Genomic DNA, 9,632 nt, shown 5'->3' with positions numbered 1-9,632 from the left:
ACACAAAAAAGTGAAAATAGCCTTAACTGATGACATTCCACCATTGTGGTTTGTTCCTGCCCCACCCTAACTGATACATATATTCTCCCCGACCCTTAAGAAGATACTTTGTAATATTCTCCCCGCCCTTTAGAATGTACTTAGTACGCCTATCCCAAACCTATAAGAACTAATGATAATCCCACCACCCTTTGCTGACTCCTTTTTCTGACTCAGCCCGCCTGCACCAGGTGAAATAAACAGCCTTGTTGCTCACACAAAGCCTGTTTGGTGGTCTCTTCACACAGATGCGTGTGACACATAAAATACTCAAACTCAGAAAAAAAGCAAAAATTTTGAAAATAAAAAACAAAACTGTAGTTTTGATTTGCATTTCTCTGATGGCCAGTGATGATGAGCATTTTTTCATGTGTTTTTTGGCTGCATAAATGTCTTCTTTTGAGAAGTGTCTGTTCATGTCCTTTGCCCACTTTTTGATGGGGTTGTTTGTTTTTTTCTTGTAAATTTGTTTGAGTTCATTGTAGATTCTGGATATTAGCCCTTTGTCAGACGAGTAGGTTGCGAAAATTTTCTCCCATTTTGTAGGTTGCCTGTTCACTCTGATGGTAGTTTCTTTTGCTGTGCAGAAGCTCTTTAGTTTAATTAGATCCCATTTGTCAATTTTGGCTTTTGTTGCCATTGCTTTTGGTGTTTTAGACATGAAGTCCTTGCCCATGCCTATGTTCTGAATGGTAATGCCTAGGTTTTCTTCTAGGGTTTTTATGGTTTTAGGTCTAACGTTTAAGTCTTTAATCCATCTTGAATTAATTTTGTATAAGGTGTAAGGAAGGGATCCAGTTTCTGCTTTCTACATATGGCTAGCCAGTTTTCCCAGCACCATTTATTAAATAGGGAATCCTTTCCCCATTGCTTGTTTTTCTCAGGTTTGTCAAAGATCAGATAGTTGTAGATATGCGGCGTTATTTCTGAGGGCTCTGTTCTGTTCCATTGATCTATATCTCTGTTTTGGTACCAGTACCATGCTGTTTTGGTTATTGTAGCCTTGTAGTATAGTTTGAAGTCAGGTAGTGTGATGCCTCCAGCTTTGTTCTTTTGGCTTAGGATTGACTTGGCAATGCGGGCTCTTTTTTGGTTCCATATGAACTTTAAAGTAGTTTTTTCCTATTCTGTGAAGAAAGTCATTGGTAGCTTGATGGGGATGGCACTGAATCTGTAAATTACCTTGGGCAGTATGGCCATTTTCACGATATTGATTCTTCCTGCCCATGAGCATGGAATGTTCTTCCATTTGTTTGTATCCTCTTTTATTTCCTTGAGCAGTGGTTTGTAGTTCTCCTTGAAGAGGTCCTTCACATCCCTTATAAGTTGGATTCCTAGGTATTTTATTCTCTTTGAAGCAATTGTGAATGGGAGTTCACTCATGATTTGGCTCTCTGTTTGTCTGTTGTTGGTGTATAAGAATGCTTGTGATTTTTGTACATTGATTTTGTATCCTGAGACTTTGCTGAAGTTGCTTATCAGCTTAAGGAGATTTTGGGCTGAGACAATGGGGTTTTCTAGATATACAATCATGTTGTCTGCAAACAGGGACAATTTGACTTCCTCTTTTCCTAATTGAATACCCTTTATTTCCTTCTCCTGCCTAATTGCCCTGGCCAGAACTTCCAACACTATGTTGAATAGGAGTGGTGAGAGAGGGCATCCCAATCAAAACCACAATGAGATACCATCTCACACCAGTTAGAATGGCAATCATTAAAAAGTCAGGAAACAACAGGTGCTGGAGAGGATGTGGGGAAATAGGAACACTTTTACACTGTTGGTGGGACTGTAAACTAGTTCAACCATTGTGGAAGTCAGTGTGGCGATTCCTCAGGGATCTAGAACTAGAAATACCATTTGACCCAGCCATCCCATTACTGGGTATATACCCAAAGGACTATAAATCATGCTGCTATAAAGACACATGCACACGTATGTTTATTGCGGCATTATTCACAACAGCAAAGACTTGGAACCAACCCAAATGTCCAACAATGATAGACTGGATCAAGAAAATGTGGCACGTATACACCATGGAATACTATGCAGCCATAAAAAATGATGAGTTCATGTCCTTTGTAGGGACATAGATGAAATTGGAAATCATCATTCTCAGTAAACTATCGCAAGAACAAAAAACCAAACACCACATATTCTCACTCATAGGTGGGAATTGAACAATGAGATCACATGGACACAGGAAGGGGAACATCACACTCTGGGGACTGTTGTGGGGTGGGGGGAGGGGGGAGGGATAGCATCGGGAGATATACCTAATGCTAGATGACGAGTTAGTGGGTGCAGCGCACCAGCATGGCACATGTATACATATGTTGCTAACCTGCACAACGTGCACATGTACCCTAAAACTTAAAGTTAATAAAAAATAAAAATAAAAATAAAAAAATAAAAAAAATAAAAAATAAAAAACAAAACTGTAAAGAAAAATAATCTCAGGACCCTCAAACTTGTTATGCCAAAGGGCAAAGTTACACCAGAAGAAACTGGAAACAGAGTCATGCAACATTTCCATCTTTTCCCCAAATTAATAGCTATTGCTTCACAACCTTGTGTCAGAGCATTGACATTACCCAGGCCCCACAGAAAGGCAAGAGGCCTCAGGCATCTCTGGATGACTGCCCTCATCAATTGTTCTTTGGTGGCCTCTAAACCTTTCAAGATGTATATTCTCCCATAAAACAATGATATGTCTATTGGACTTCACACTAATAATCCTTATTTTCTCACGTACAGAACAAAGACAATGTGAGAGCAATCATTCTTCTGCCTATCCTACACGCCTTTTCTCCCTTAAGGAAATGTATAAATACTGAGCCTCCTGAAAACCCCTTCAGGGAGAATATAAGCCACAGAAGATTTCTGTGACTCCTGTTTATCTTGGGCATGCCCTCAAGCTCGAGCTCAATAAACATCAATTGATAGAGACTCTTGCCTTAGTCACTCATTTTGGTTAACAGAACAAATAGAAAACAGCCAGCGACATGGTACATTTCAATTCAAATATATTAGTAATCAGTTTAAATGTAAATGGTGTAAATATGCCAGTTAAACATCAGATTATCGGATTGGATTAAAAAGCTAGACTCTACTATAAATACATGCTGTCTGTTAGGCCTCTGAGCCCAAGCTAAGCCATCATATCCCCTGTAACCTGCACATACACATCCAGATGGCCGGTTCCTGCCTTAACTGATGACATTCCACACAAAAGAAGTGAAAATGGCCTGTTCCTGCCTTAACTGATGACATTGTCTTGTGAAATTCCTTCTCCTGGCTCATCCTGGCTCAAAAGCTCCCCTACTGAGCACCTTGTGACTCCCACTCTGCCAGCCAGAGAACAACCCCCCTTTGACTGTAATTTTCCTTTACCTACCCAAATCCTGTAAAACAGCCCCACCCCTATCTCCCTTCGCTGACTCTCTTTTCAGACTCAGCCCACCTGCACCCAGGTGAAATAAATAGCCATGTTGCTCACACAAAGGCTGTTTGGTGGTCTCTTCACAGGGACGCGCATGAAATTTGGTGCCATGACTCAGATCGGGGGACCTCCCTTGGGAGATCAATCTCCTGTCCTCCTGCTCTTTGCTCCGTGAGAAAGATCCACCTATGACCTCAGGTCCTCAGACCAACCAGCCCAAGAAACATCTCACCAATTTCAAATCCAGTAAGCGGCTTCTTTTTACTCTCTTCTCCAACCTCTCTCACTGTCCCTCAACCACTTTCTCCTTTCCAATCTTCAATCTCTCCCTTCTTTTAATTTCAATTCCTTTCATTTTCTGGTAGAGACAAAGGAGACACATTTTATCCATGGACCCAAAACTCCGGCGCCAGTCACGGACTAGGGAAGGCAGCCTTCCCTTGGTGTTTAATCATTGCAGGGACACCTCTCTGATTATTCACCCAGGTTTCAGAGGTGTCAGACCACGCAGGGATGCCTGCCTTGGTCCTTCACCCTTAGAGGCAAATCCCTCTTTTCTGGGGTAGGGGCAAGTACCCCAACCCCTTCTCTCCATGTCTCTACCCCTTCTCCACCTTTCTGGGGGGCAAGAAACCCCCAACCCCTTCTCCCTCACTCTTAGCAGCAAGTCCCGCTTTTCTAGAGGAGGGGCAAGTACCCCAACCTCGTATCTCTGCATCCCAATCCCTTATTTCTGTGCCCCAACCTCTTATATCTCTGCACCCCAATCCCTTATTTCCACGCACCAACCTCTTATCTCTGCACCCCAATCCCTTATTTCCATGCCCCGACCTCATATCTCTGTGCCCCGATCCCTTATTTCCGCACCCCAACCTCTTATATCTCTGTGCCCTGATCCCTTATTTCCATGCCCCAACCTCGTATCTCTGCACCCCGACCCCTTTCCCACTTTTCTGGAGGGTAAGAACCCCCAAACCGCTTCCCTCCTTGTCTCTACTCTCCCTTTTCTTTAAACTTGCCTCCTTCACTATGGGCAACCTTCCACCCTCCATTCCTCCTTCTTCTCCCTTAGCCTCTGTTCTTAAGAACTTAAAACCTCTTCAACTCTCACCTGACCTAAAATCTAAGTGTCTTATTTTCTTCTGCAATGCTGCTTGACCCCAATACAAACTCAACAGTAGTTCCAAATAGCCAGAAAACAGCACTTTCAATTTTTTCATCCTGCAAGATCTAAATAATTCTTGTCATAAAATGGACAAACGGTCTGAGATGCCTGACGTCCAGGCATTCTTCTACACATCGGTCCCTCCCTAGTCTCTGTGCCCAGTGCAACTCGTCCCAAATCTTCCTTCTTTCCCTCCCATCTGTCCCCCCAGTCCCAACCCCAGGTGTCACTGAGTCTTTCTAATCTTCCTTTTCTACAGACCCTTCTGACCTCTCCTCTCCTCCCCAGGCTGCTCCTCACCAGGCTGAGCTAGGTCCCAATTCTTCCTCAGCCTCCGCTCCTCCACCCTATAATCCTTTTATCACCTCCCCTCCTCACACCTGGTCTGGCTTACAGTTTCGTTCCATGACTAGCCCTCCCCGACCTGCCCAGCAATTTATTCTTAAAAAGGTGGCTGGAACTAAAGGCATAGTCAAGGTTAATGCTCCTTTTTCTTTATCCCAAATCAGATAGCGTTTAGGCTCTTTTTCATCAAATATAAAAATCCAGCCCAGTTCACGACTCGTTTGGCAGCAACCCTGAGACACTTTACAGCCCTAGACCCTAAAAGGTCAAAAGGCCGTCTTATTCTCAAAATACATTGTATTACCCAATCTGCTCCTGACATTAAATAAAACTCCAAAAATTAAATTCTGGCCCTCAAACCCCACAACAGGATTTAATTAACCTCGCCTTCAAGGTGTACAATAATAGAAAAAAGTAGCAATTCCTTGCCTCCACTGTGAGACAAACCCCAGCCACATCTCCAGCACACAAGAACTTCCAAATGCCTGAACCGGAGCAGCCAGGCGTTTCTCCAGAACCTCCTCCCCCAGGAGCTTGCTACAAGTGCCAGAAATCTGGCCACCAGGCCAAGGAATGCCTGCAGCCCAGGATTCCTCCTAAGCCGCGTCCCATCTGTGCGGGACCCCACTGGAAATTGGACTGTCCAACTCACCTGGCAGCCACTCCCAGAGCCCCTGGAACTCTGGCCCAAGGCTCTCTGACTTCTTCCCAGTTCTTCTTGGCTTAGCGGCTGAAGATTGACACTGCCCGATCACCTCGGAAGCCCCCTAGACCATCACGGATGCCGAGCTTCGGGTAACTCTCACAGTGGAAGGTAAGTCCGTCCCCTTCTTAATCAATACGGAGGCTACCCACTCCACATTACCTTCTTTTCAAGGGCCTGTTTCCCTTGCCTCCATGACTGTTGTGGGTATTGACGGCCAGGCTTCTAAACCCCTGAAAACTCCCCCACTCTGGTGCCAACTTGGACAACACTCTTTTATGAACTCTTTTTTAGTTATCCCCACCTGCCCAGTTCCCTTATTAGGCTGAGATATTTTAACCAAATTATCTGCTTCCCTGACTATTCCTGGACTACAGCCACATCTCATTGCTGCACTTCTCCCCAACCCAAAGCCTCCTTCGCGTCTTCCTCTCGTATCCCCCCACCTTAACCCACAAGTATGGGACATCTCTACTCCTTCCCTGGCAACCGATCACATGCCCATTACCATCCCATTAAAACCTAATCACCCTTACCCCGCTCAACACCAATATCCAATCCCACAGCACGCTTTAAAAGGATTAAAACCTGTTATCACTCGCCTGCTACAGCATGGGCTTCTAAAACCTATAAACTCTCCTTACAATTCCCCCATTTTACCTATCCAAAAACCAGACAAGTCTTACAGATTAGTTCAGGATCTGCGCCTTATCAACCAAATTGTTTTTCCATCCATCCTATGGTGCCCAACCCGTACACTCTTTTGTCCTCAATACCTTCCTCCACAACTCACTATTCTGTTCTCGATCTTAAAGATGCTTTTTTCACTATTCCCCTGCACCCCTCGTCCCAGCCTCTCTTTGCTTTCACTTAGACTGACCCTGACACCCATTAGGCTCAGCAAATTACCTGGGCTGTACTGCCGCAAGGCTTCACAGACAGCCCCCATTACTTCAGTCAAGCTGAAATTTCTTCCTTATCTGTTACCTATCTCAGCATAATTCTCATAAAAACACACGTGCTCTCCCTGCTGATCATGTCTGATTAATCTCCCAAACCTCAATCCCTAATAAAACAACTCCTTTCCTCCCTAGGCATGGTTAGTGCGGTCAGAATTCTTACACAAGAGCCAGGACCACACCCTGTAGCCTTTCTGTCCAAACAACTTGACCTTACTGTTTTAGCATAGCCATCATGTCTCCGTGCAGTGGCTGCTGCCGCCCTAATACTTTTAGAGGCCCTCAAAATCACAACCTATGCTCAACTTACTCTCTACATTTCTCATAACTTCCAAAATCTATTTTCTTCCTCATACCTGACGCAGATACTTTCTGCTCCCCGGCTCCTTCAGCTGTACTCACTCTTTGTTAAGTCCCACAATTACCATTGTTCCTGGCCCGGACTTCAATCCGGCCTCCCACATTATTCTGGATACCACACCTGAGCCTCATTACTGTATCTCTCTGATCCACCTGAGATTCACCCCACTTCCCCATACTTCTTTCTTTCCTGTTCCTCACCCTGATCACGCTTGATTTATTAATGGCAGTTCCACCAGGCCTAATTGCCACACACCAGCAAAGGCAGGCTATGCTATAGTACAAGTCACTAGCCCGCCTCTTAAAATCTCTCATTTCCTTTCCATCGTGGAAATCTATCCTCAAGGAAATAACTTCTCAGTGTTCCGTCTGCTATTCTACTACTCCTCAAGATTATTCAGGCCCCCCTCCCTTCCCTCCACATCAAGCTTGAGGATTTGCCCCCACCCAGGACTGGCAAATTAGCTTTACTCAACATGCGAGTCAGATAACTAAAATACCTCTTAGTCTAGGTAGACACTTTCACTGGATAGGTAGAGTCCTTTCCTACAGGGTCTGAGAAGGCCACTGCAGTCATTTCTTCCCTTCCTTCAGGCATAATTCCTCAGTTTAGCCTTCTCACCTCTATACAGTCTGATAACAGACTAGCCTTTATTAGTCAAATCAGCCAAGCAGTTTTTCAGGCTCTTAGTATTCAGTGAAACCTTTATATCCCTTACAGTCCTCAGTCTTCAGGAAAAGTAGAACAGACTAATGGTCTTTTAAAAATACACCTCACCAAGCTCAGCCACCAACTTAAAAAGGACTAGACAATACTTTTACCACTTTCCCTTCTCAGAAGTCAGACCTGTCCTCAGAATGCTACAGGGTACAGCCCATTTGAGCTCCTGTATAGATGCTCCTTTTTGTTAGGCCCCAGTCTCATTCCAGACACCAGACTAACTTAGACTGTGCCCCAAAAAAACTTGTCATCCCTACTATCTTCTGTCTAGTCATACTCCTATTCACCGTTCTCAACTACTCATACATGCCCTGCTCTTGTTTACACTGCCGGTTTACACTGTTTCTCCAAGCCATCACAGCTGATATCTCCTGGTGCTATCCCCAAACTGCCACTCTTAACTCTTGAAGTAAATAAATAATCTTTGCTGACAGGACTATGCTGAATTTCCTTAGGCACTCTAATTAGATGTCGTAGGTCCTCCCAATTCTTAGACCTTTAATACCTGTTTTTCTCCTTCTCTTATTCCATTTAGTTTTTCAATTCATATAAAACTGTATCCAGGCCATCACCAATAATTCTAAATGACAAATGTTTCTTCTAACAGTCCCACAACATCACCCCTTACCACAAAATCTTCCTTCAGCTTAATCTCTCCCATTCTAGGTTCCCACGCCGCCCCTAATCCCACTCGAAGCAGCCCTGAGAAACATCGCCCATTATCTCTCCATACCACCCCCAAAAATTTTCACCGTCCTAACACTTTACCACTATTTCATTTTATTTTTCTTATTAATATAAGAAGACAGGAATGTTAGGCCTCTGAGACCAAGCTAAGCCATCATATCCCCTGTGACCTGCATGTATACATCCAGATGGCCGGTTCCTGCCTTAACTGATGACATTCCACACAAAAGAAGTGAAAATGGCCTGTTCCTGCCTTAACTGATGACATTGTCTTGTGAAATACCTTCTCCTGGCTCATCCTGGCTCAAAAGCTCCCCTGCTGAGCACCTTGTGACTCCCACTCTGCCCGCCAGAGAACAACCCCCCTTTGACTGTAATTTTCCTTTACCTACCCAAATCCTATAAAATGGCCCCACCCCTATCTCCCTTCACTGACTCTATTTTCGGACTCAGCCTGCCTGCACCCAGGTAAAATAAACAGCCATGTTGCTCACACAAAGCCTGTTTGGTGGTCTCTTTACACGGACGCACATGAAACTGTCTACAAGAAAACCCACTTAGATATGAAGACATAGCTAGGTTATTGCCCCCACATGTGCCTGGCAACATGGCCGCCCCCACATATCCCCACATGTGTAGGACATCATGGTGCCCTGTATTTGCATATTAAAAGGTTAGGGTGGGAGGGCCAGTTTTTCGTTGGCTATGTGAATGACATACCAGGTCAAACTAATCCCCTGAGCCCTATGCAAACCAGACACCACCTCCTCCAGCCTCCTCATATTACTGGCTGATTTCCATGGCACTCGGGGTTTCCTCTCTCAGCTTTGGAGCCCCTCTTCCTGTGTCTCTGTACAGGGGAGTTTCTTCCTTCTTTCTTGCCTATTAAACTCTCTGCTCTTTAAAACCGGAAAAAAAATATATATATATAGCTAGCTAGGTTAAAAGTAAAAGGGTGGAAGAAAGATACCATTATATAATATACTCACCAAAATAAAGCTAGAATAGCTGAATTTCTGGCAAAATAGATTTTAGAATGAGAAAGACAATCATTCATCATATAAAGCAAAAAATAATTTGAAGCCTAATTTTAAAATAATTATCACAGAAGAAAAGAAAAAATGAGTTTCAGGAAATCTTACTGTTTAAACTGAACTTTAATTTCATATATGCTTTTACTTAGATGTTCTGACTGTGAACATACATTTATT

General features: G+C 43.9%; 2 annotated features.

The window, feature by feature from the left end:
• Positions 3,028 to 3,560: an enhancer, noted in NCBI's record as "OCT4-NANOG hESC enhancer chr3:39624719-39625251 (GRCh37/hg19 assembly coordinates)". NCBI's record gives its function as "activates a minimal SCP1, AML or CMV promoter by ChIP-STARR-seq in naive and primed H9 embryonic stem cells {active_cell/tissue: H9 hESC(naive and primed)}" and the evidence as "EXISTENCE:reporter gene assay evidence [ECO:0000049][PMID:30033119]".
• Positions 8,473 to 9,412: an enhancer, noted in NCBI's record as "OCT4-NANOG-H3K27ac hESC enhancer chr3:39618867-39619806 (GRCh37/hg19 assembly coordinates)". NCBI's record gives its function as "activates a minimal SCP1, AML or CMV promoter by ChIP-STARR-seq in naive and primed H9 embryonic stem cells {active_cell/tissue: H9 hESC(naive and primed)}" and the evidence as "EXISTENCE:reporter gene assay evidence [ECO:0000049][PMID:30033119]".

Source organism: Homo sapiens, chromosome 3 (assembly GCF_000001405.40).
Source record: "Homo sapiens chromosome 3, GRCh38.p14 Primary Assembly".
NCBI classification, from domain to species: domain Eukaryota; kingdom Metazoa; phylum Chordata; class Mammalia; order Primates; family Hominidae; genus Homo; species Homo sapiens.
The sequence above is the reverse complement of the archived record's forward strand: the minus strand, read 5'-3'. Positions and strand labels throughout refer to the sequence as shown.